Source organism: Homo sapiens, chromosome 9, assembly GCF_000001405.40.
Source record: "Homo sapiens chromosome 9, GRCh38.p14 Primary Assembly".
NCBI classification, from domain to species: domain Eukaryota; kingdom Metazoa; phylum Chordata; class Mammalia; order Primates; family Hominidae; genus Homo; species Homo sapiens.
In genome coordinates, this window is record NC_000009.12 from 113,313,013 (window position 1) to 113,340,482 (window position 27,470).

The 27,470-nt window shown below is 43.5% G+C and overlaps 1 protein-coding gene across 10 annotated transcripts, besides 1 other annotated feature; it reads right to left on the minus strand.

Annotated features, from left to right (window-relative positions):
* Window positions 1-209: 209 nt before the first annotated feature.
* WDR31 (WD repeat domain 31) lies at window positions 210-27,263 on the minus strand. Of its 10 annotated transcripts, none has more exons than NR_134677.2 (11): window positions 27,205-27,263; window positions 23,276-23,428; window positions 18,966-19,038; window positions 17,972-18,104; window positions 15,869-15,943; window positions 9,999-10,143; window positions 9,799-9,899; window positions 8,460-8,566; window positions 7,345-7,486; window positions 5,463-5,625; window positions 210-3,897 (listed from the first exon to the last, which is right to left on the minus strand). NR_134677.2 is itself a non-coding variant. In NM_145241.5 (11 exons), exons 3-11 carry the CDS (start codon window positions 19,008-19,010, stop codon window positions 3,737-3,739), a joined length of 1,101 nt encoding a protein of 366 aa, NP_660284.1. In that variant the 5' UTR covers window positions 19,011-19,038; window positions 23,276-23,428; window positions 27,205-27,263; the 3' UTR covers window positions 210-3,736. The 10 variants fall into 10 exon arrangements, 9 of the variants coding, with proteins under 9 accessions (NP_660284.1, NP_001012361.1, XP_047278669.1 ...); NM_145241.5 differs by having other exon boundaries at window positions 8,499-8,566; window positions 17,972-18,101; window positions 18,895-19,038; NM_001012361.4 differs by having other exon boundaries at window positions 8,499-8,566; window positions 18,895-19,038.
* Window positions 27,033-27,272: a silencer, noted in NCBI's record as "silent region_20198". NCBI's record gives its function as "represses an Ori minimal core promoter by ATAC-STARR-seq in GM12878 lymphoblastoid cells {active_cell/tissue: GM12878}" and the evidence as "EXISTENCE:reporter gene assay evidence [ECO:0000049][PMID:35858748]".

Genomic DNA, 27,470 nt, shown 5'->3' on the forward strand with positions numbered 1-27,470 from the left:
AATTCCTTGATATGATTTTAGAGGGCAGCCTCTAAAATGAAGTGTTCAATGAATGTTCAAGGAATGAATGAATTTTAGCAACCTGTATCTTAGGTGCTGAGAGTATCTGATTAGGGCATATCAGACTAAAAAAAGTCCTCTACAAACACTAGAATTTACTAATCTATTTTCTACTTAAAATGCATAGATAATTTGACATCAAGCACATGTACAGTTTATGGAAACAATTTTATTGGTAACAGAACCCTACTAACTCATCAGAGCCCCACTATTTTCTCCCGTGTACTTTCCTTCTCCTGGCAGCCTGTCCCCCTTCCCTGGGACCCCCTCCCAACTCATTCCCGTGAACTTTCTGACTTGCTGCCTCTCTCCCTTCTGGGAAAAAGTGTCAGCTGCTGCACTAATAATCCAGCACATGCTACGACTGTCCCTGAGACAGCTGTCTACTGCCCCTAGGCACTTGGGCAGGGGATCTCCTTGGAGCCAGAAAGTTAATAACTGGTCTTGAAGATACAAACAATGTCATGGTCTATGACTTTGTGACACGATGCAAAGGAAAGCGTTTGGGCTTTGAGTCAGGCAGACCCAGATTCATACCTCAGCTCTTCTTAATATGTGTGTGACTTTGGGCAAAGTACTGCATGTTTCTAGCCCTCAGCTTCCTCATCTGTGAAATGGAAATCACAATACAGAGAATATTGGGAATAACAAATGAGAATAAATATATTTAGCCCTCTGTAGATGCTCAGTGACCGGGCTTCCTCTCCCACTATCTCTTTGTCTTTCCAGAGTTGAAAGACCCATAACAAGGAATCAAAGGAGAGTGAAACGATGACTAAAGGTTTAGAGGATAAGATCTAAGAATGGATGAAGGAGGCCGGGCGCAGTGGCTCACGCCTGTAATCCCAGCACTTAGGCGGGCGGATCACGAGGTCAGGAGATTGAGACCATCCTGGCTAACACGGTGAAATCCCGTCTCTACTAAAAACACAAAAAAATTAGCCGGGCGTGATGGCGGGCGCCTGTAGTCCCAGCTATTCGGGAGGCTGAGGCAGGAGAATGGCGTCAACCCGGGAGGCGGAGCTTGCAGCGAGCCGAGATTGCACCACTGCACTCCAGCCTGGGCGACAGAGCAAGATTCCATCTCAAAAAAAAAAAAAAAAAAAAGGATCAAGGAATGGTAAACGTTTATTTTATTTTATTTTATTTTATTTTATTTTGAGATAGAGTCTCTCTCTGTTGCCTAGGCTGGAGTGCAATGGCACAATCTCAGCTCACTGCAACCTCTGCCTCCCCGGTTGAAGCGATTCTCCTGCCTCAGCCTCCTGAGTAGCTGGGACTACAGGCGGGCACCACCACACCCAGCTAATTTTTGTATTTTTAGTAGAGACGGGGTTTCACCATATTGGCCAGGATGGTCTCGATCTCTTGACCTTGTGATCTGCCCGCCTAGGCCTCACAAAGTGCTGGGATTACAGGCATGAGCCAACGCGTCCGGCAGAATGGTAAATGTTTAATATGGAAAAGGGAACATTTAGTCTGGACAGAGAGGACAATAAATAATTATGGCTACCATTTGTCACCACCTTTCCTGGCATTTACTTATTTATTTATTTATTGAGATGGAGTTTCGCTCTTGTTGCCCAGGCTGGAGTGCAATGGCACAATCTCGGCTCACCGCAACCTCCGCCTCCTGGGTTCAAGCGATTCTCCCGCCTCAGGCTCCCCAGGTAGCTGGGATTACAGGCATGCACCACCACGCCTGGCTAATTTTTGTATTTTTAGTAGAGACGGGGTTTCTCCATGTTGGTCAGGCTGGTCTCAAACTCCTGACCTCAGGTGATCCTCCTGCCTCGGCCTCCCAAAGTGCTGGGATTACAGGTTTGAGCCACTGCGCCTGGCCTTTCCTGGCATTTAAAATAGCTATGTCCAGTCTTCAGAACAGCCCTGTGGCGAGGTATGATCATGAAACCCACGTTATAAAGTGAAGAGGAAACAGATTTTATAACTTGCCCAAGATCATCCAGCTAAATGGAGAAGTGGAGATTCAAAGTCGGGTCTGACTCTTTGTACTAGCTTAAGAACAGACTCTCAGCTGGATGTGGTGGCTCATACCTGTAATCTCAACACTTAAGGAGGCCGAGGCAGATGGATCACTTGAGCCCAGGAGTTTTAGACCACACAAACACACAAAAAATTAGCCAGGTGTGGTGGTGCATGCCTGCAGTCCCAGCTACTCAGGAGGCTAAGGAGGGAGGATTGATTGAGCCCTGGTGATTGAGGCTGCAGTTAGCCATGATCACACCAAGAGAGGGAAGAAGGAAGGTGGCTGTCAGTCACTGGTATCAGAGACAAGCAGAGGACAGAGAAGACAAATGCAAAATCTTTCTTTGGCTGGGACTTGTCAGAAAGGGAATCTCCAGTGTTGGTGATGGTGTCACCAACAGCCTCATGTGCCTTATGTGTGGGCATCTCTGAAGGCAGAAAGAACTCCATTTTCCCTGGAGGAAAATGGACCAGTGAGCATGAGGCTGAGGTCTGACTCCTGGGGGCCACACAGGCAGGCCTGAGCACCTTGCCCCTCCTCACTGAAGGGGGCTTAATGTCTGGGGCACAGTTGACTCCATCCCTCTCTTTTTTCCTGTATGTGGTTTTTTGTTTTTTTTTTTTTCAAGACAAGGTCTCATTCTGTCACACAGACTGGAGTGCAGTGGCACAATCTCAGCTCACTGCAAACTCTGCCTCCCAGGTTCAAGTGATTCTCCCATCTCAGCCTCCCGAGTAGCTGGGACTACAGGCACGCACGTACAGGCTGGTCTTGAACTCCTGACCTAAAGTGATCTGCCTGCCTCGTTTTTCCTGTATGTTCTAATGTTATTTCAGGGATCCCCTTTGCCTCACTCTGGCCATTCCAAAACATATATATGTTTCATTTATATAAATCCAAATGAAAATATTAAAATTGCAAGTGAGATATTTTTGGCCTTAATCTTTGAATTTCAATGTTTTCTTATCTGTAGAGCTGGTGTGCTAACTCCTGTAATTCTGGGCAATGCCCATGTGGTTCTTGGCTGCTTCAAGCCATCTCAGGTCTGATTTTCACACAAGCTCAGCAGCACTGGGCTAGAAGGGTACCGCCCTCCCACTCTGCTGCCACTTTGAATAGAAGTCCAAGCTTTCGCTTTCTTGCCCTGACTTTGATTCTTCACATTGCTGAGGAGCAGTGATTGAAGCTTAATCTCATTGTCTACAGTCCGTCTCCTCTATGGAGCTGCACTATTCTTTCCCATCTCAATTATTTCTGATGTAACCAAAACACTCTCTCTCCCCACTGCCTTTTTTCTTTTGTAAAGACTTGCAAAGGGTCAGTTCCAGAGGCTCGAGCCCTGTGTTCTGACTTTCACAGACAGAGGCCTGCCACTCTTACATTTACAGGTCATCATTCTGAGCAATACACTTTTTTTGAAGAGTAGTCCTAAAAGCTCACTAAAAAGTTGCATTTGTATTTAACTTAAATAGAGAACCTTATGTGTAGTCCATGTTTCTGGACTCTATACCTGATTTTGAATCACTGGACTTAAATTATTGGACTTACAACACTGATACATCTTGTAAATGAACCTAAGCAAAGAATACCAGCCCTACATCCCACTCCCCTCAAGATAACTGGGAAAGACACAAAGCCATGCTGAGGAGGAGCCATGGTTTGATATTGTCCAGTGAGTGTCTCTTGGCCTCAGAATGCTGCCACTTCCTGCAGTTCCAGCCCTTGGCTGTGGTCCATTCTGAGTAAGTGAATTCCTCTGTTAAAACTTGCACACAATAAGGAGATGGCGTCACCAACAGCCAGAGAAGTCAAGGGTCCTGATCCATCCAGAGACAAGGTGAAAAGGCAGGCTGGGGGGGAAAGGGGGACCAGCAGATTAGGCCAAGAGTGTAGCATCATGAAATGTGATGTCTTCATGAGAAATGCAAGGAAATAAAGCATTTGCTGTACATATCTAACCCGTATGAGAGAGACCCCACTTCTTCAGAGGAAAGCATACCAGGGAGGTCAGAACTTGGGCCAACTCCATGACTTCAATGGTAGAGAATGGCACACGGGCCAAACAGGATGCATACCATCACCAAGAAGTGTCGGGGTCTCACCGGCTAAAGACATGTTACAAAGGTGCCCTCAGTCACCTGCCCAGAGAATAAAGCAGGGCCCAGGCAGGGAAAAACACACAAGGATACTGATCTTTAGCTGCTGGCTTCCTGGGGTCTTGATGCCTTGGAGATGGAGGATAATGGGAGAGCCCGAAAGGCAGTCTTTGGGGGTTTCAGCTGACCCATCTCCCTCCATCTGCATCTTAGAGGCCACTCTTCTAAAAACTACAGGCGCATACCTGGTGGGCAGGGAATCTGTGCCACTTGGTCAGGTCAACATTTCCAGATCTCGTTCTCCCTGGTCAGATTTATGATCATTAAGTCTAAAACATCTGCTCTTTTTCCTCAAGCAACAGTTACACCTGAGTGGCTGGAGAAGCCACTCCAGGTAACAGTACAGCAGGCTGTCCTTACTATGGAAGTTTGGCTTGTGGCCACAGCTGTTTGCAGAATGCCCACAAGACATGGTCCTGCCTCTATTCTCTGAGGGAACTACCCTGTCTCCCTTGAGAGGAGCTGAGTTCTAGAAGACTGTTGTAGGACAGATTTGGTTTAAAGTTCTTTAAGGCAATGCTGTTTCTGTCTGTGGCAGAACCCTGTGTCCAGGACAGAATAGATGGAGGCAGTGGGGTGCTGGTAAACCAGCTTTCTGGAAGAGAAAACACCACCACCACCGATTCATAGCACTTGTTAATTTTCATCATGTAAATACCTCCATCATGATCAGATTTCAGGCTACCAAAGGTTTAAAAACCAGTTCACAAAAAATCCTGAATATTTAACAATCGGCCAGCAGGGGCTGGCTCCATCCAGCAGATCCAGGACTCTGGGGAGCTGGGTTGCATAAGACATCTTTTTTCTCTGATGCTTTGAAATGTTATGAGCTTACTGTGTTCTTAAACTTCAGCTACAGAATCAAAACAGGGCAGAGACTTTCTGAAAGTATCCTTACTCCCCCTTACCCTCACCAAGAGCTGGGGCTTTCATTTTAGTCCTTGAAAGAAGACTTGAAAAGTCACAATTCTTGTTCTCTTTTCCAAATATTTTGAGTGTCACAAGTTAGAATCTGATGAAGAACTTCAGGTAGAAAGAATGTAAGAGCCAAATCTACGTGAGTTCTCAGGAATGAGTCTATACAACATGGTACCAGGGGATACAGGGGATAGCATCTTGACATCACCTCTTAAGCATGAGACTGGACAGTGGCAGAAGATGGGTGGCTTTGTAATGCTGAGCAATGGGAAGAAGGAGTTTTAAAGAAGGTTTTAGGACTTCATGTATCTTTTGAGGAGAACTAACAGCAGGCTGCTTACCTCCAGTATCTTGGTTCCAAATCTTCACCTTGCAATCATGTGATGAGGTAGCAATTAAAGGCATCAAGGCCAATGCTCTTGGTAGAAAGACGCAGGATGCGACAGTCTGGAAATGCCCCTTATACTCACATATTCTGTTTCGAGTCTGTCTTAGGTCCCACAACTGCAAAGTAATGACATGGACCAGCTCATAGTCACTTGTCTAGCTTCATCCATGAATATCTATCTCCCCCTACCCCCATGATGCACCTATTCCCTCCACTTACCTGCTCACGTAGCTACCCCTTATCTTCATCCATCCACAGACCCAACAACCCATCCATCCACAGACCCAATGACCCATCCATCCAGTGATTATTTTAAGCCTCAACTATGTCTCAAACAACCCTGGTTAAGAATGTGTCATATGAGTTTTTGCCTTTTTAGTGGTTAGGGAAGTAAAAGCTCCCAGTCCTACAGCATGATGGTGTTCCATCATGGGGAACCCATGGGGAGCCCCAAACAACAGTATGGGGTTGTTTGCTTTCATGGCAACTCAAGAGCTGCCTTATTTCAACCTCTTGGCATCTGTGGGCCCTGTGGGGACCCCGTAGTTAGAAGTACCCCATAGATATAAGTACATCTAGGTGCAGACATTCTGATTTAATGCCTAGATGCTGAACCTTGATGTGTGAAGACTAGCGTCTACAAGAGGGAAGTGCCAGTCAGTGCTGCCAGTCCCACTCTCATTGATACAGATCAGATCACAGCTGGAGAATAATGTTCAGGGAGGAGAGCAAATTGAATTATGTCCAAAAAGATAATGAAGTTATTGGACAGCATGTTATCCAGGGAATAGCTGTAGGAGCTGGAAATGTTTCACTTAGAAAAGAGATGCTACATTCAAAGGCTGCAACACCCCAATCTACCATTTACTAGGGATGTGGTCTTGTGCAAGAGATGTCAACTTGCCATGCCTCTATTTCCTTGTCTGTGAAATGGGAATTATAATAGTACCTAACTCATGGGGTTGTTTTTAAGGATTAAATGAGATATTACATGTAATGTGCTCATCCCAGTGCCCAGCACACAAGAAATGTTCAATAAAATAGGAGGCATAATTGTTCTGTTTGAATACTAGATAACCCTTTTAATGGATATTCTACAATTATGAATCTAAGGTGCTTTGGAGGAGCCTAGGCAATCTATTCCAAAATTAAATGTAAGGAAGGTACATGAGTAAGGGATGGAGTAGGCCCTGGACCAACACTAGAGCTCCAAATTTCCTAAAAAGCTTGAGCTTCTTTTACTGTGGCCACGCCTATAATGGGAATAAATCTGGTTCTTCAAACAGTCCCTCCCCTCTCTAAGCTCTGCTGGGAGTAGAGACATCAGCAGGCTGGTTCTGTGTTTAGCTCCTCCCCATCTTGACTCTCATCCCATTCCTCTTTCCTACTACCAATTCAGAGAGCCCTAAGTTGATGAATGTTTCTTTTATTTTCTTTCTTTATTTTTTTGAGATGGGGTCTCCCTTGTTGCCCAGGCTGGCCTCAAACTCCTAGGCTCAGTTGATCCTCCCACCTCAGCCTCTGAATAGCTTGGACTACAGGCACATGCCACCATGCCCAGCTAACTTTTTATTTTTTTATAGAGACAGGGTCTTGCTCTGTTGCCCAAGCTAGTCTCAAACTCCTGGGCTCAATTAATCCTCCCGCCTTGGCCTCCCCTATGAATGTTTCTTAAATGAAGCAACTGGAATGCAAAGGATCACTCACAGTATGCTTTTGAAAGAGGCCTGAGCCATTAGCAAAGCCCGCCTGTGTAGCACAGCTACAGGCATGAGGCCAGAGTAAGTGATCTGTTCATCAGCAACCAGATACCTGGACCTCACACAGTCTCCTACCGTGGCTTCACAGCCTTCTCCTCCAAAGCCATTGCTGCAGGAGATACACTTGTGTCCATCCACACTGACTTCACAGTAGGTCTGAATGTGCTGCTTTGCAGGAAACATATGAGCTACCTGCAGCCCCCGACTGTCCCATAATCTGAAAGAGATTAGGGCAGGAAATTAGCTTGTAGTAAATGTGGCTGAAATACACCCGTATTGTCCCACTACCAAAAAAGTCTTGGCTCTTTGCTGCATAGGCCAGTCAGATTGGAATGGCATGATTTACCTAAAAACGGCAGCATGAACCAGATCAATCTCTGAGACTCTAAAGTTGGCAGGAAGTAACCAAATTGAATGACATCTGAGTTCTTTCTATTTTGAGATCAGTTAATAGAAATTGAGACCAAGCATCTTAATTGTACAAGTTAATTTGTTAATTTGGTCCTTTGAGACACTGCTTTCCGTGGACAAAAGGATATTTCTGTGCCTGTGACTTAAATTTTTAAAAAGATACTTATTATGATATGGGAAATCAGTCATCATTCAGAATTAGTTACAAAAGATTTACATACAGGTCATGGCCAGCCTTGGCTATGGGGTCCACTGGGGAGTGTTTTGTTTTGCTTCTTATTTCATTTTTACCTCTTTACCCCATTCCTACCATTTTCTAAGGAGAATCTCTTCTGAGATCCAAAGTTTCTAGTTATCCTCTCCGGTCTAAGAACTATTGGCTTTACTGACTCCCCTGATGCTGATTTCAACCCTGCTTCCCCAGGGAGGGCTTCAGCTGAAGGCTGGGTGACTGAGAACACCAGGAGCCATGCAGGGGTAGCAAGGAGAGCCAGGCAGCCCAACAGGGTGGGACAAGCAAGTGACTGATTCTGGGGTTAATCTGAACACCTTCACACAGCAGGAGCTGGCTGAATCAGATGCTTTGGAACCATCCAAAACAGGGGCTTTTACTTGGCCTGATCTCATGACACACAACCTCTACCTTAATGATCCATGGGGCCAAAGCAGAGAGGCCCCAGCACCAGTGAAGGGCAGAGGAACAGAAGGCTCTGGGAAGGGCAGAGCAATGTGGAGAATCAGAGTGGGAATGGAGCCATGTATGCATGGGAGCCACAAACCTCACAAGAAACACTTTCACAGCTGCTCAGTAAGCCCACCTGAGGGTTTTATCTTCAGAGGTCTGTAGTATGTATGGTTCTCTGGGGACCCAGCACAGGTGAGTGACCTAGAAAAAGCAAAATGTTCAGAACTTCTCCACACCAAGTCATTCCTCTGCTGTAATTCCTGTCAAATGTGCTAACTAGCATCACTGTGCCTCTTCTCAAGGATTCTGAACTAGCAAATTCATTTACAGGCATCTTAGGTTTTGCAGATACCTATCAGTCATGCTCTACCTGCATCTCCTAGGTTATCAGCAGCAAGATAACAGCTGGGCCAGTTGTGAGCACCAAAATACATGCAGGCACCCTAAGAGTGCCTGAAACCCCAGCTGTGTGGCAGATAGAACAGCTCCTGTTGTAAGGTGGGTTCACTGAAACTCTAGCCCCAACACCTCATGGGGATCAGGAAGAGCATTCATGTTTCTCTTTATCCCTGCAGGTCCCTGCTGGATAGGCATAAAATAGTTTCCAAAATAACCCGAAATAACAGGATTTTCTTTTCTTCCAGTAACCTCCACCAATATAGAGGGCATGGGGCAAGCATATCTGACCATTGGCAGTCATCTTCAAAATTAGAAAAGATGACTGGGACTGAAATTTGACAACCACTAAAAGAACATCTAGTATGGGTCAGACACAATGTCAGGTATTTCACATCTAGTATCTGAATTCATCCTCTGAAGAACCTTAGCAGGTGATAGAATTCTCCCCATTTTATAAATGAAGACACAGACACTCTAAGAGCTTAAGTAACTTCCTTGAGATAACATAACTGGTAAGTAATAGATCCATGATTTTAACCTGAGTATAACTGACTCCAAAGGCTCTCCAATTTATACCAGTCTGCTACTAGAAAACAACTGGTCCTTCAAAAGCAATGCAAATTCTACATAAAGCAAAAGGTAATGCTTATTTCTCCACATGATGTTACACATATGAACATACAATAAGCATAAGCTGTGAGGTCCTGGAAGACAGGAACTATGTTCTTGGTCACTAACCCTGTTCCTAGCACAGTGTCTGGCCCACAGAAGAAACAGAATAATGAAAGAAATAATGAAGACACCATTTTAAATTCCAATATAAGTGAGTAAAATCATTGTCTGGAGCAGAAGACTCAAGGGAACATCTAATCTAATAACCCTGAGAGGCCAGGGTCTCACAGCAGGTTAGGGGACAGCAATTGGGACCCAGGCTCTAATTTCTGCTCATGGGCCTCCTGATTTATCTCCCGAGCCTTTCCTTCACCCCATGCTCCTTTCTGCTGCCCTGTTCTGTACCAAGTTTGAGTTCATACCACGTTCCTGGAGACAGATGCTCTTTCCACACTCTGTCCTGTCACCACATCCCACAGAAGCAGGGTGTTGTCCCGAGAGCCAGTGCACAGCTGTGATGAGTCTTTGGAAACAATGGTGAGAAGACAGCCTGTGAGTGGGGACCTGAACGGGGCTTTTCAGAAAGCACAAAGGCATTGGGAAGAGGTCCGCTTTGTTTTACCTGGACTCACAGCCAATCCGGTGACCACCATGGCATGGCCACACAATTGCTGCCTTGGTTGTGAGGAACCGTGCAAGTCCCACATCATGACCATCCTGTCACGAGAGGCACTGAAGAACTGGCTGGATTTGGGAATACAGGCTACCTGCTCAGGGAAAAAACAACAACACTGAAATAGCTCTGGTATGCTAGTTGGACTGGACTTTAAATTGGGGGAAAGATGAGTCTGCATAACTCCCTCCCCACACACACTTCTTTTCTTTTTTTTTGAGACGGAGTCTCACTTTGTCACCCAGGCTGGAGGGCAGTGGTGTGATCTCAGCTCACTGCAACCTCCACCTCCTGGGTTCAAGCGATTCTCCTGCCTCAGCCTCCCGGGTGGCTGGGATTACAGGCACCAGCCACCACGCCCAGCTAATTTTTGCATTTTTAGTAGAGACAGGGTTTCACCATGTTGGCCAGGCTGGTCTCCAACTCGTGACCTCAGGTGAGCCACCCACCTCGGCCTCCCAAAGTACTGGGATTACAGGCATGAGCCACTGTGCCCGGCCCCCACACACACTTCTCAAAAGAGTAATACCTAAGCTTGAAATCTATGAATGCACAGCATGGGCCAGTCTGAATTTCCACCTTTATCAATGTTGTGCTACCTTTCCTTTATGTAGCAGATTTCCTCCTGTCCTTCAGGGTAAGGTTAAAAATCTCACCTCCTCAGATCATGTCACCTTGGTGAGGATGTATCCCCTCTTGGGCTTCCTATAGAACTTCCTCCTGTGGGATTCCTTTTGCACTTGATCATCACCACACCCCAAAAATGGATGCTGTACTGTTATGACAGGTGATTCTGTTATACTTACGAAGAATTTGAAGTGAATCTCTGTTCCATTTTATGCTTTTTACCTTGAATACAACTTTGCTTGATATTATTATCATCCCAACTCCTGCTCTGTTTGTTTACATTTGCCTGATATATCTTTGCTGACCTACTCTTCCTGTTCTGATCTCTTCCATCGTGTTTCTTTTTTTTTGGAATTGTGGTAAATATACATAAAACTTACCATTTTAACCATTTTTAAGTGTACAACTCAGTGGCAACAAGTACATTCATTGTTGTGTAACCATCACCACTATCATCTCTAGAACTTTTTCATCATCCCAAACTGAAACTCTACAACCTTTAAACAATTACTCTCCATTTTCCTCTCCCCGCAGCCGCTGGCACCCACCATTATTCTACTTTCTGTCTCTATGGACTTGACTATTCTAGGTACCTCAAATAAGCAGAATCATACCATATTTGTCCTTTTGTGTCCGGCTCTTACTTAGCATAATGTTTTCAGGGTTCAGCCATGTTGTAACATGTATCAGAATTTCATTCCTTTTTTTTTTTTTTTTTTGAGACAGGGTCTTGCTCTGTCACCCAGACTGCAGTGCAGGGACCTGGTCTCGGTTCACTGCAACCTTCCCTTCCCGGGCTCAAGCAATCCACTTGCCTCAGCCTCCTGAATAGCTGGGACTATAAGTGTGCGCCACCATACCTGACTAATTTTTGTATTTTCTGTAGAGACAGGGTTTTGCCATGTTGCTCAGGCTGGCCTCGAACTCCCGGGCTCAAGTGATCTACCTGCCTGGGCCTCCCACAATGCTGGGTTTACAAGCACGAGCCACTGTGCTTGGCCTATTTCATTCCTTTTTAAGGCTGAAAAATAGCCCACTGTATGTATATTACCGCATTTTGTTTATCCATGAATCTGTCAAAGGACATTTGGGTTGTTTCCAGCTTTTGGCTATTATAAACAATGCTGCTATATATATATATGTGTGTGTGTGTGTGTGTGTGTGTGTGTGTGTGTGTGTGTGTGTACAAATATCTGTTCTATATTTACTAACTGTTTTACTTTCAATCTTAAAGCTGTTTTGCATTAGATATGTCTTATTTTTTATTTATTTATTGAGACACAGTCTCACTCTGTCGCCCAGGCTGGAGTGCAATGGTGTGATCTCTGCTCACTGCAACCTCTGCCTCCCAGGTTCAAGCGATTCTCCTGTCTCAGCCTCCTGCATAGCTGGGATTACAGGTGTGTGCCACCATGCCTGGCTAATTCTTTTTTTTTTTTAATTTTTAGTAGACATGGAGTTTTGCCATGTTGGCCAGGCTGGTCTTGAACTCCTGACCTCAAGTGATCCACCCGCCTTGGCCTCCTAAACTGCTGGGATTACAGGCATGAGCCATCGTGCCCAGCCTAGATATGTCTCTTTTAAACAATGTACAGGTGGCTTTAGTTTTTAACTCAGTAAGAGTACTGCCTTTCAATAAGTGAATTTATCCCAATTACATTTACTGCTATCATATATATGTTTGATCTTGTTCCTTCCATCTTTTCTGTTGGTTTTTGAAAAACACTTTGTCATATTTTCATTGTCTTCTTTTTCTATAAAATTGTATATTTGTTTTTAGAGTTATTTTTCCCTTTATATTTTTAATTTAAATAATATGGAACTTAAGTTCTTCTCATGATACCTCTGTATATGTATTAATATCCTTAAACTCATATTCTCAATGTATTAATTTCAGAAAGAAAACAGAATCTCCTGTAAGGAAAATTTTTTTTTTCTTTAATTAGCACAATTATATTACTTCTGGCTCGTTCCCACTTTTGTAAGTACTCTCTTGGATTTTTATCTAGTCTATTATCATATTATTAATATTTTGTATTTTATACATATAAATTTTTAAAAGAATTAAAACAATTACATTTCTTCTCATAGCCCTCGTTTTGACAATTCTTTAGACATAATTCTGTGTTTAATTGGATTGAAGGCTCATACAGTGAATTCAGTTTGGAACTTCTTTAATATTCATTGGCTTTATTATTCATCATTCATTCACATTCTTTATTTTTTATTTTTTATTTTTTGAGATGGAGTTTCCCTCTTGTTGCCCAGGCTGGAGTGCAATGGTGTGATCTCAGCTCACCACAACCTCTGCCTCCTGGGTTCAAGTGATTCTCCTGCCTCAGCCTCTCGAGTAGCTGGGTTTACAGGCATGCGCCACCACACCTGGCTAATTTTTTATTTTTAGTAGAGACGGGGTTTCTCCATGTTGGTCAGGCTGGTCTTGAATTCCTGACCTCAGGTGATCTGCCCGCCTTGGCCTCCCAAAATGCTGGGATTACAGGCGTGAGCCACCGCACCCGGCCCATTCACATTCTTTAATAATATACCTTCAACTATATTATTGAGGAATGCTTTGCATATGGCAAGATTTTACAAATTTAAGAATGTCTTCCCATTGCCTTTACACATGAACAACACTCTCCGCACATACAGATTCTTTTTCTTTCTTCCTTTCCTTTCCTTTCTTTCTTTCTCTTTCTTTTCTTTCTTTCCTTCTTTCCGTCCTTCTTTCTTTCTTTTTCTTTTTCTCTCTTCTTTCTCTCTCTCTCTCTTTCCTCCCTCCTTCTTTCTTTCTTTCTGACTGGGTCTCGCTATGTCACCCAGGCTGGGGTGCAATGGCACAACTATAGCTCACTGCAGCCTCCATCTCCCTGGCTTAAACGATCCTCTTGCCTTAGCCTCCCAAGTAGCTTTGACTATAGGTATGCACCACTATGACCACCGAATATATTTGTATTTTTATTTATAGTAGAGACAGGTCTTGCTATGTTGCCCAGGCTGGTCTTGAACTCCTGAGCTCAAGCAATCCTCCTACCTCAGCTTCCCAAAGTGTTGGGATTTTAGGAATGAGCTACCCTGCCTGGCCAATTTTTACTTTTTAATAATATTTTTTCCTCAAATATTTTCTCTCCCAGATAATTCTTCTATTGTCTTACTTTTTTTTTTGAGACTAAGATCTTGCTCTGTCGCCAAGGCTGGATGCAGTGAAATCATCACAGCTCACTATGGCTTCAACCTCATGGACTCAAGTGATCCTTCCACATCAGCTTCCTGAGTAGCTGGGACTATAGGTGCGCACAACTACATCCAACTAATTTTTTAATTTTTTGTGGAGATGGGGTCTCATTATGTTGCCCAGGCTGGTCTCAAATTCTTGGGCTCAAGCAATCCTCCTGCCTTGCCTTGCCAAAGTGCCAGCATTACAGGCATGAGCCACTGCACCTGGCTTGTCTTATTTTTTCAATTTCTTGTTTCATAGAGTACATGTTCTCTTAATTTATAGAGAGTAAAAAGCATTAATCAAATTTTATCTTTGCTTCTTGAGTAGTTCTTCCTTCAAAGTGTATTTTCATCTGACATTAGCTTGTTATATGTATATTTAAAAAAATCTAGGCATATAGGCCTCACTTTGGATCCTTTCTGCTTATTAATCTTTTCATCTTTGAATGAGGATAAGTCCAATTTTTGGCAGTAAATCCAATAAGGCTTGATACATGCTCAAGTGTTACATGCACACACACACACACACACACACGTGCACACACACACAAGTGCATGCACACACACTCACACACAGTCAATTCTCTCTCACTTTCTTTCCTTTTAGTCCAAGGTCTACTATAACTTGACTTGTCATGCTGAATATTGATGGTTGATTATGTCTTGATTTGTCATCCTGAATATTGATGGCTGATTATGTCTTGTCTAAATAGCTGAGACTACAGGTGTTCACCACCATGCCTGGCTAATTTTTTTTATTTTTGGTCAAGATGGGGTCTTGCTATGTCCCAGGCTGGTTTTAAACTCCCGGCCTCGGGCGAATCACTTGAGGTCAGGAGTTGGAGACCAGCCTGGCCAACATAGCAAAACCCCATCTCTACTATAAATATAAAAATTAGCCGGGTGTGGTGGCACATGTCTGTAATCCCACTTACTTGGGTGGCCAAGGCAGAAGAATAGCTTGAACCTGCGAGATGGAGGTTGCAGTGAGCTTTGATCACACAACGGGGAGAGTGAGACTCTATCTCAAAAAACAAAACAAAAAATTCCTGGCCTCAAATGATCCTCCTGCCTCAGCCTCCCAAAGCACTGGGATTACAGGTATGAGCCACCATGCCTGGCCAGTCCTTCGGCATTTTAGGGTGACCAGAAGAAGGAGAAGCAAGCTGGCAGCAGTCTCAATTTTGTTACATTGTCTTGTTTTACTGGTAAACAATCTATATCTTTAGTCCTCATCTTTCTAAATAAAGGGCTGTTGGGAGGACCATTCAGGACCAGCTCTTTTAGTGACATCTGCACTCTGCCAAATATCTGGGGATAAGTGCATTACAGCATGGTGTTCTCTATCAGTCTAGTTCAGAACACAATGTATCTGGCAAGCAAATATCATATTCTGTGCTATGGGATTGTGGCTGATGCCTAGTTTCATTATAAATGAAGTGTGTATCTTAATTTTTGGTTCATTTAGGCGGACTTCAGAGCGGGGAATTATATAAATTGGCATTCTCTATCATTTTTGCTGGAAGCTCACTCTGGTCTGTAATGCTATCTAACAAATAAATTTTTATTTCATTGTTATTGAATGTTCATTAAATGTCCCCAACTAGACTAGAAGGTTGCTGAGCACAGGGATTTTGTCACTTTCCTAGCTATGGTAAGCACAGGGTAAGCCCAAGCCTTCAGTACAGTACTTGTTGAGTCAGGATAGGTCAAGAGTTGTTATCAGCTGTGTTCTGTTTACTACCTGTGCTATTAAGGGCTTAATGACAAAAGAAAAATTGTGTTCGATATGCCTGTAACAACAACTAAGTGAATGGTTTGCTCTGTTTCTCCTGAAGTAGGATTTCACAGCATCAAACAAACCTTTGCATTTTTCCTTAAGACCAAAGATTCAATCACTCTTAATATCTAGAACTATTAGCTATCCTTTATTCAGTTCCAGATTGCCTTCATAATAATCATTTGAAAATTACCTTGGTGATCTCATGTTCATGTCCTTTGAACCTTTTCACCACATTTCCAGTTTTCCAATTATAGGCCACAACTGTCTGAAGAGAGTGAAGATTGTAGTTTCATTACTCAATTCTTGTTAAAGTGACACTAGCCTCTACTGCATTCTCACCTTACTTTCTCCCTCCTCACTCACTCCCTCTCTGCTCAGGAACTTGCTCAAAGCATTCGGGGTTCCCTGTTGTGGCCGTCCCTCCTCACGTGCCCCTCCTTTGAGTTTCTTTTCTTTCCTCCTGGTTGTTCTCTGTCTCCCTCCGACACTGGACCACTGCTCTAAACTTACTGATGGGTTTGGGCTAACATTCCCCAAGGAGAACTGATTCCCCTGGAGGTTCTGACTGTAGATGGTGAAGGAGAATTCCACATAAGGTTAGATTTGTTTTCCCTATAGTACTGTATTTTTTTGTTGTGGTGTTTTTTTTTTTTTAATCTACCATTTCAAGCTGGGCGCAGTGGCTCATGCCTGTAATCCCAGCACTTTGGGAGGCCAAGGCGGGCAGATCACCTGAGGTCGGGAGTTTGAGACCAGACTGACCAACATGGAGAAACCCCATCTCTACTAAAAATACAAAATAAGCCAGGTGTGGTGGCACATGCCTGTAATCCCAGCTACTAAGGAGGCTGAGACAGGAGAATTGCTTGAACCTGGGAGGTGGAGATTGCAGTGAGCCACCCTGCCTGGCCTAGATTTTAAGACAAAATACTGCCAATTAAACTATGATACTTCGATGCATCCTGATTTCAGAAGTGTTAAAATGTGAAAAGTGAAAACAGGGCCAGGCACAGTGGCGCACGCCTGTAATCCCAGCACTTTGGGAGGCTGAGGCGGGCGGATCACCTGAGGTCGGGAGTTCGAGAGCAGCCTGACCAACATGGAGAAACCCCATCTCTACTAAAAAAAATAAAATACAAAATTAGCCGAGTGTGGTGGCACATGCCTGTAATCCCAGCTACTTGGGAAGCTGAGGCTGGAGAATCGCTTGAACCCAGGAGGCGGAGGTTGTGGTGAGCCGAGATGGCGCCACTGCACTCCAGCCTGGGCAACAAGAGCAAAACTCTGTCTCAAATAATAATAATATAATAAAAATAAAATAAAATGTGAAAACATGCATCTTAGAACCAGTGGAATGCAGTATGCAAATGGAATTTGAAGATTCTAAAAGGCTATTGAAAATGAGAGACATTATTATTATTATTTTTTGAGACAGAGTCTTGCTCTGTCACCCAGGCTGGAGGACAGTGGCCCGATCTCGGCTTACTGCAACCTCCACTTCCCAGGTTCTAGCAATTCTTGAGCCTCAGCCTCCCAAGTAGCTGGGATTACAGGCAAGCGCCATCATGCCCAGCTAATTTTTGTATTTTTAGTAGAGATGGGGCTTCGCCATGTTGTCCAGGCTGGTCTTTAGCTCCTGTCCTCAAGTGATCCGCCTGCCTTGGCCTCCCAAAGTGCTGGGATTATAGGTGTGAGCCACCACACCCGGCCCATTATTAGTATTATTCACTACAAAAAGAATTAGCAGTTGTACTACCAGTATCCCAGCTGTGAGGGCTATGATAGATCCTAATATGAAGGAGAGAAATGTGAGAATGGGAGGAAGGAAGACAAAAACACAGGGAGGAATCATGATGCATACCAGTGTAGAGAGCATAAAAGAAGAGATTAGACAGTTCCTTTTGCTGACAATTAACTCCTGTGTCTCCATGTAGGTGTAACATGGGATTGGTGGTAAGTATAATCTTTGCCATTTATAGAAAGCATGTGGGTGGTCAGGCATAGTGTTAAGATCTCACCTACGTTCTTTGATTTAATCTTTAATAACCACCTGTGAGGTGGCATTATTATTCCCACTTAACAGATAAGACTGAAACTCAAAAAAATTTAAAGACTTGTCCAAACGAATGGGAAGTGGCCAAGCAGGGATTTAAATCCAGTCTTTCTAACTCTAAAGCCAATATTTTTACACTTGTCAACCCTGCTCCAGAAATGCAAATCCTAGACTTCCTTTCAAAATATCTTCCTTTCCCTGCAATAAAGTTCATTTCCCGGGAAACACTGCAAACCCCACCTTATCTTTCCCTCCAGAGACACAAAGGTCTGAGTTCAAAGCAGCCACGACAGAGACGGTATCCATGTGAGCTGGGCTATACTCTTGAAAAGCTTTAGTTTGAATTCTCTCTTCTATAATTTCATCAGGCCTGCTAAAAAGAGTATAGAAAATGAGAGACCCAATGGCATGGGAGTGGATGGGGGTGGGGTGGGGTGGGGTAGGGAGAAGAATGTGGGTTAAGAAGGCAATTCAGGCCAGACTAAGGAGAAATATTTAAAAAGGAGAAGAGAAGGGAGACCCATTTACATTGTCAGCAATGGTATTATTTACTCTGAAAATGTGCAGAATGACTGAAGGACTGGAATCTGATAAAGGGGGATCCTGAAGCCAAGAAGCCAGGAGTCTTTCTTTGCTCACACTAGCAATTAATCCTGAAGATTTAGGGCCCCTCTGTGTATGGGTGCAGACACTAGCTAATAAACTTGACTGTTTCTTTCTTTTGAGACAGAGTCTCACTCTGTTGCCCAGACTGGAGTGCAGTGGCACACATGGCTCACTGCAGCCTTGACTTCCTGGGCTCAAGCAATCCTCCCACCTCAGCCTCCCAAGTAGCTGGGACTACAGGCTCATGCCATTATGCCCAGCTAATTTTTGTATTTTTTGTAGAGATGGGGTTTCGCCATGTTGCCAAGGCTGGTCTCAAACTACTGAGCTCAAGCAATCTGTCCCCCTCGGGCTTCCAAAGCGCTGGGATTACAGGTGTGAGACAGCACACCCAGCCCTGACTGTTTCTTATCCAAAAGAAAACACACTAAACTATTCAGGGAAGGCCAACTATTCAGGGAAGGCCATCAACATTCGCCCTGGGCCTTCTCTTTCTTCAGTGGAGAGTTTTAATGGGGCATGATAAAACCTGGGCTCCCAGGGGAGGATTGCAGTACCCGTATTTATAAGTGCTGTGTTTGAGTTTGCTTTGCTGTTTCCCCATCACGACACAAAACCTAAACGAAACCTTCTGTGGAGGAGCTTGTTTCAGTTGGCACCTGAGTAGCAGCATCCCTTGTGGCTGCTGGAAGTTGTGTTCCCTGTTTAATAAAAAGAAGAATACATGTTGTTAATTTTGTTAGGCACAATAGTATGATGTTGAAAATAAATCCTTTTTTAGACTAATTAATTGTATGCTTTTGCTTTTCCTCCTCACCCTGCTTCACACTTACAGCCCTGAGGTTGCAGACACACAAAAACAAAACTGATTTTAAAAAAGACTAAGAAGTCCTGTAATAAGTAAAACACAGAATTGCCATACGGTCCAGCCATTCTAATCCTGGGTTTAAGGCCAAAAACACAGAAACAGATGTTCAAACAAAAATTTGTGCACAAATGTTCACAGCAGCACTGTTCACAGCAGCCAAAAAGTGAAAACAACTCAAATATTCATCAACAGATGAGTGGAGAAACATCATGTGGTCAATCCACACAATGAAATATTACTCGGCCATTAAAAGGAATGAAGTACTCGTACATACTACAACATGGGTGAATCTTGAGAACATCATGCTAAGCAAAAGAAGCCAGACATGAAAGGCTACACAGTTCATATTCTATGTATGCGAAATATCCATAGTTGGCAAATCTATAGAGACAAAAAGCAGATTAGTGGTTGGCAAGAGCTGGAATAAGGAAGAGACTGGGGAGTGACTACTTAATAGATACAGATAGAATGTAATACAGAGTATCTTAATAGGCTAGATATAGTTTGGATATGTGTCCCCTCCAAATCTCATGTTGAAATTTGATCCCCAATGTTGGAGGTAGGGCTTAGTTGGAGGTGTTTCGGTCATGTGACCAGATCCCTCATGAATACTTGGTGACATCTCCCTGGTAATTAGTGAGTTCTCACTCTATTAGTTCCCACAAGAACGAATTGTTTTAAAAAAGCCTGGCACCTCCCTCCTCACCTGGTTCCTTCCTCTCTTGCCAAGGGATGCCTGCTCTCCTTTGCCTACTGCCACGGTGGAAGCTTCCTGAGCCCTCACCAGAAACAGAAGCCTGCGTCACACTTTTCATACAGCCTGCAGAACCATGAGCCAAATAAACTGCTTTTCTTTATAAACTACTTAGCCTCAGTTATTTTTTTATAGCAACACAAACAAACAAAGAGGCAGAGTTTCCTTTTGGAGTGATGAAAATGTTCTAGAACTAGATAGTGATGATGGTTGCACAACAATGTCTCTATATACTAAATGTCACTAATCATAAATTTTATGTTATGTGCACTCTGCCACAATAAAATAAATACTAAGAAGATGTAATCAAAAATAAAAAATAATTTACACTACTGAAGCTTCTTGAAAAAGAAAAGCCTCAGTTATTCTAAAAGGTTATAACCTTCCTTGGTTGTTGGATTTTTTTTTTTTTTTTTTTTTTGAGACGGAGTCTCGCTCTGTCGCCCAGGCCGGACTGCGGACTGCAGTGGCGCAATCTCGGCTCACTGCAAGCTCCGCCTCCCAGGTTCACGCCATTCTCCTGCCTCAGCCTCCCCAGTAGCTGGGACTACAGGCGCCCGCCACCGCGCCCGGCTAATTTTTTGTATTTTTAGTAGAGACGGGGTTTCACCTTGTTAGCCAGGATGGTCTCGATCTCCTGACCTCATGATCCACCCGCCTCGGCCTCCCAAAGTGCTGGGATTACAGGCGTGAGCCACCGCGCCCGGCCGGATTTTTTTTTTTTTAATAATTTCACTATGGCACCTCTCAGTGTGCCAGAATCATGAAATAGATGTTCTGAGATGCTAGAAATAATGCCACTAAATGAGACAATGTAGGTAATGACCTAGACTAGCAGTTCTTAAAGTGTGATCCATGGAACATGGGGGATTCCTGAGAGCCTTTCAGGGAGTTTGGGAGGACTTCTGTTTTCCAACCACATCTCTCAGTGAGGCCCTTCGCTCCCTCCCTCCCTTCCTTCCTCTCCTTTTCTCTCCTCCTTCTTCCTTCTTCCTTCTCCTCCTTCTCCTTCTTCTTTCTTTCTTTTTCCTTCTCCTTCTCCTTTCTTTTTTTTTGAGACAGGGTCTCACTCTATCACCCAGGCTGGAGTGCAGTGGTGTGATCTCACTGTACCCTCAACCTCCTAGGCTTAGGTGATCCTCCCACTTCAGCCTCCCAGGGAGCTGGGACTACAGGCTTGCACCATCATGCCCAGCTAATTTTTCTGTGTTTTTTGTAGAGACGGGGTTTCGCCAACTCCTGGGCTCAAGCAATCCACGTGCCTTGGCCTCCCAAAGTGGGGCCTTCTTTTCTTTTAATACCTCAACATAAACAATAGATTATAATAGACTGAATGCAGAAGCAGATATCAGAGTCCAATTGTCTCCTTTTTAAGGCAAACATTAGAAATTTGCAAAAACATAAAGCAATACCACTTCTTCCAATTAAATATTTTGGTTTTGGAAAGTATATTTATTTTTCATAAAATGATGTTTTATGTTAATATGCAATAGGTTTATTGCTATTTCAAAATTAATAAGTAAATGTCTTTAAAATTTGTTTTTTAAAATTAATTAATTAATTTACTTATTTATTTTATTTTTTTGAGACGGAGTTTCACTCTTGTCACCCAGGCTGGAGTGCAATGGCGTGATCTCAGCCCACTGCAACCTCCGTCTCCTGGGTTCAAGCGATTCTCCTGTCTCAGCCTCCAGAGTAGCTGGGACTACAGGCATGCGCCACTACATCAGGCTTTTTTTTTTTTTTTTTTTTTTTTTGTATTTTTAGTAGAGACAGGGTTTCACCATTTTTTGGCAAGGCTAGTCTCAAACCCCTGACCTCAGGTGATCCACCCACCTTGACTTCCCAAAGTGCTAGGATTACAGGCATGAGCCACCGCACCTGGCCTCATTTATTTATTTTTAAATTTAACAAACCCTGCATGTGGCATTCAATCTCAGTTTTAATGTCAAATGATGGTAGCAGAGCAGGATTCGAACTCAATCTATAACCTACATAAACAAAACCTCTTTGGGGGTTCTTAATTTTGAGGAGTGAAAAGAAGTTCTGAGACCAAAAAGTTTGAGAGCCAGTGACTTAGAATTTAAATAATGTTAATATTGGATTATATATTAGAATTAAAAGAATAATGAAACATTTTCCAGATTTACTTGTATCATCCCCCTCAACTAACGAGGCTAGAACTGAAAAGAAAGAGAATGAATTATGCATTCAAAGGTGCTCCTCCACTCATTCAGGGAACACCTCCTAAGCACCTTATTTGTGTAGGTCCTATACCAGTTGCTGGTGAAACTGAAAAAAAGAGAAACCTGAAGATGTGACCAGCATGAACATTTGCTGGGACCGAAGGAACCTAACGAAGGACCAGTCTCAACTACTCCATGTCATGTGTCCCCTGCGACTGGCTGTGATATCAGATAGCTGAGGGAAGTATGGGGGGCAGTGGGAGCACCCAGTCCCCATTTCTTCTGAGGTTCTGCCTAAAAGTTCTAGGAAATAAGTTTCTTATGGGCATGACCAACCTAATTCTAGGAAGAACTGTCTACAGGAAGAACTGTTTACAGAAGAGAACAGCAGCTAAAACGCACCAACTTAATATTCTCATTCATACCATTAGCATTAAAAAAATGGAGTTTTCCAGAAGAATTTCAGCCTACATTTTGAGAAGTTGCTAGAATTGACTTCCTGACGAGAATAGGTAACCAATACAGAAAAGCACAATGCAATGGAAACAATGTGAGTGGCATCAAGAGGCCTAGGATCTACCCCAGCCCTGCCTCATCCCATTATGTGTCCTTGAGTAGCTCCATTCCCCACTCTGGCCTCAGCCTCCCCAGCTAGAAAATTAGGACACTATACGAAATGATTTTTAGTAGACTATGTGTATAATGAGAGAAGGTCTCTCGTTATTCATCTTTGTACCCCAAGTGGCTTGCACAGTACTGTACAACAAAAATACTTGTGAAGTGGCAAATCTAAGGTCCCTTCCACTTCAGATATTCCAGGATTTTCTATAAGAGGCCACAAGATGTGCTGAGAGGCAAAATTCAGGATAGTTTTCAAAAAGTTTGGGATGTGGTATTGTTTACAGATAGAGGGTGCAGGGCTTCTTATCTGCCAGCCTAACCTATTTTTCAACATTGTCATCAAACCAATGACAGATGCCATTCATAGATCTAGGTCACTGGAAATTGCAGATGCTATAAATGGATTAGCTCTGCTCAAAACTGATTGGTATAGTCAGAGAGCCATACTTCCCAAGTAAACCATATTCATGGGACATTCTAAGGAAAAGATAACTTTTAGAATTACTTACCCCCAAACCAATAGGATCTTCTTGGTTAGCTGCCCTATTCAATAATTTGTAATGTGTATCCTTTGGAAAATAGTTCAGGCAGCCACTTCTTAATCTCTGTAATTAGTGGGAAGCCACTGAAGTTAATCTCTTCTCTGTCTAAGCATGTTTGCACTGAAAAGAGATTTACAAGGTAAATAAAGACCTTGTTTATTAAAGAGATGGTTAGGTGTAGTTTTCCCTCACAAAGAAAGAAATATTTTACAAAATTCCAAGATTATCTCTCTCACATTTCCACAATTCAGGAAAGTATACTATAGTGTTAATTATATATCTATTTTTAAATATGCAAAATATATTTAAATACATTGTTAAACATTTTGATTTTGCTCATAACATAGTACTTCTATTCATCAAAAATCTTGAGTTGACTGCTTATTTCAGAGTTTACTGCTTTTGTGAAAAAGGCAATTTCTCCTGTTTTAAATAATTCTCCTAGAATTTGAGATGGGAGAGCTTTTCAAAATCACCATATATAAACCATTTATTTATTTCAAGATCTGCAGAGTAAGGGTAGAAATATTATTTGCTCAAAATTATAACTAAGACCATTTATTGAAAGATCTGCAGAATAAGGATAGAAATATTATTTGCTCAAAATTATAACTAAGTAAATCTCTTGACTTCTAGTCCAGAATTTCCATTATAAATGTCTACAAAGAATAAACAGCTTTATTGCATTTTAATAACTCAATTTTAAGAATTCAATTAAATTCTAAATATTGATTGACAGTGCAGCTTATTCTGAGAATTAAGGGCAGCACAGAATAGTCAGAACAACATTTCATTAAATGCATTAGTGTCTGCATTAGATAGGACTAGTTGTGAATTATAGCTCAACTGTGGCCTTGGGCAAGTTGCTGAACCTCTCTAAGTCTCACTTTCCTATGTGTAAAATAGGATAATAACTCTATCATTGACTTCTGTGAAGATTAAAAATAGCACTTAAAAGGTACCAGGAACTGCTCTATGTTTTATATTTATTAACTCATTTTATCTATTCCACAAGCCTCTGAGATACTGTTACTACAGGTTGAGCATCTAATCCAAAAATCCAAAATCCAAAATGATCCAAAATCTAAAACTTTTTGAGCACTGACATGACATTCGAAGGAAATATTCATTGGAGCATTTTGGATTTTTTTTTTTTTTTTTTTTAGACAGAATCTTACTATATTGCCCAGACTGGAGTGCAGTGGTGCAACCTGGGCTCACTGCAACCTCCACCTCCCAGGTTCAAGCAATTCTCCTGCCTCAGCCTCCTGAGTAGCTGCGATTACAGGTGTGTGCCTCCATGCCCAGCTAAGTTTTGTATTTTTAGTAGAGATGGGGTTTCACCATGTTGGCCAGGCTGGTCTCAAACTCCTGACTTCAAGTGATCTGTCCACCTAGGCTTCCCAAAGTGCTGGGATTACAGGCATGAGCCACCGTGCCCAGCCACATCGGAGCATTTTGGATTTCAGGTTTTCCATTAGGGATGCTCAACCCTTAAGTATATAATGCAAATATTCTAAAATCTGAAATTTGAAACACTTCTGGTCCCAAACATTTCAGATAAGGGATACTCAACCTGTATGGCCATTTTGCAGATGTGAAAAGTGAGGCACAGAGATATCAAATAGTTTGCTCAAGTTTATACTGCAAATAAGTGGCAGAGCTGAAACTTGAATCCAGGCAGTCCAACTCCAGAGGCCCTGTTCTTGACCAGCATATTATACTGCATCTCTACAAAAGCTGGTGCATATAAAGCTTTTGGTTCAATCTGGCAAGTTGTTAACAATAAATTATGGTTACTAGCATGATTGCAAGATTAACAGTGATCATACTGGAAGCAGCATTTTCACCCTTGTTAATACTGTTCATAATGCACAAATATTAATGCACAAATATACACAGAGAACACATACAAACGGATATATGAATCTAGAGGATATTAAAGCTGAAGCAAATTATGGCCTCTGATCAGAGTGATTGGACCCAATAAAGCTAAGAATTCATTATGTTACATAGCAAGGCAATTAAAAAGTCTCAAGAACAAAGTATATGAATTTGGGTTATATCTACGTTGTTGTAATTTATCATGAGTAGAATAAGAAATAAAAGTACTACTAAGTTATCTTCCACTATTTTTATTAGGAACATGTAATATACTTGAGAGGAGGTATAATTTCTGGTTCATTTTTGTATCTATGATTTGACCTTAGCCTAGGAGAATGAACGCAAGGCAAATAAATACCTGTTGAATGAGTGAATGGAATACTAAGATGAAGAGTCGGCTTGGTGGTACGCTATTTTTTTTTTTTTTTTCTGAGATGGAGTTTCTCTCTTGTTGCCCAGGCTGGAGTGCAATGGCACCATCTCAGCTCATCACAACCTCCACCTCCCAGGTTCAAGCGATTCTCCAGCCTCAGCTTCCTGAGTAGCTGGGATTACAGGCGCCTGCCACCACGCCCAGCTAATTTTGTGTTTTTAGTAGAGACAGGATTTCTCCATATTAGTCAGGCTGGTCTCGAACTCCCGATCTCAGTTGATCCGCCCACCTTGGCCTCCCAAAATGCTGGGATTACAGGTGTGAGCCACCGTGCCCGGCCCAGTGGTACACTTTTTAGGGACCCAACAACATAAGCGCCCTTTTAACCTGCCCAACAACATATCCCTTAGAGAGCAGTCACCCTGTTTCATCCCAGGCTCCAGACCCAGAAAGGCTGGAGAGGACATGGGAAAATCTACAGATTCAGTTATGGCTCTGGATGTCCCTGTTGGTTCCAGTTGGAACCAGGCCTCGGTCTGAATCCCATCACTTCTTTCTATTCCAATCTGCTTTCCAAAGGCCTTGGGATATCCAGTAGTCACTCTAAACCACCCTAAACAGAAAGCAGAGAATTCTCTTTTAACTCTCCAGTGCAATATTCCTTGATATACACCAGTACCTATCCGACTGTTCTATTCCATGAAGAAACTGGGACTCAGAGGGCTGTGACTTGCTGAAGGTCACAGGGGCAGAGCCGGGTGGACTGGACCTTATTTCCCTGGTCCCGTTAATGCAAATGCTGATATCTTATCTCCCTCCGTCTCCCCAAATCTCCCTCTGCACACTTCTGTCTTACACTCTGGGAGACCAAGGCATCTTTAGTCGCCAAAACAATGCTCAAAGAAAGAAAAGTATGAGTAGAAACACCTGGAAGCTGGTCTGGTTCGACCCTCTAATGGTACAGATAGGGGAAACCGAGGCCCAGGGAATAAGAGGGTCTTGCCTAGAGTCACACAGGGAGCCAGTTCTAGGCCACCACTCTCACGGTTGCCTCAAATTTTGGGGACGACTTGTGTGCAGTTTTTCCTTTCTGTCGCTTCAGATGGCAAATGCTCCTCTCCCTGCCCATTATATGAACAACTAAAGCTTAATTTGTTTTTGTTTTTGTTTTCAAGAGACGGAGTCTCGAGTCTCGCTCTGTCACCCAGGCTGGAGTGCAGTGGCGCGATCTCGGCTCACTGCAACCTCCGCCTCCCGGGTTCTAGCAGTTCTCCTGCTTCAGCTTCCCAAGTAGCTACAGGCGCACGGCACCACTCCCGGCTAATTTTTTGTATTTTAGTAGAGACAGGGTTTCACTGTGTTGCCCAGGATGGTCTCGAACTCCTGAGCTCAGGCAATCCACCCGCCTCGGCCTCCCACAGTGCTAGGATTCCAGGCGTGAGCCACCGCGCCCGGCCTAAAGCTTATTTTTTATGTGTATGTGGAAAGCGGGGAGAAGAGTCCCCGAAGATGGGAACCTAGCGCCACCCAGCCCAAGGTTGGCCCTCATAACCGCTCTCCGCTTCGACCAAAGGGCGAGGGTTGCCCGCTCCTAGTCTGCCGCTATGCCCCTTTCTCCCACCTCAGGCTCAGTACCCACCGGTGGGCTGCGGGGCTGGAGCTGGGGCCGGCGGGAACGCGGAGCCTGGGGGTGGGAACAGCCTCCGAGCCCTCCCGCGCCTCCGCCCCTAGCAGCAGGCGCACGTTGCTAGGGCGGGAGTGCTGGAGAAAAGCCTCCGGGCACCCTCGCAGGCCGCCGAACCGCAGTTCCGTTCGCCTAAAGCTGGGACGGGAACTGAGCGCCCGGCGCTACTCTCTTCGTGATCAGGTCCAGAGGAGAGGACGCTTGTGCCCAGGACTCCGCTG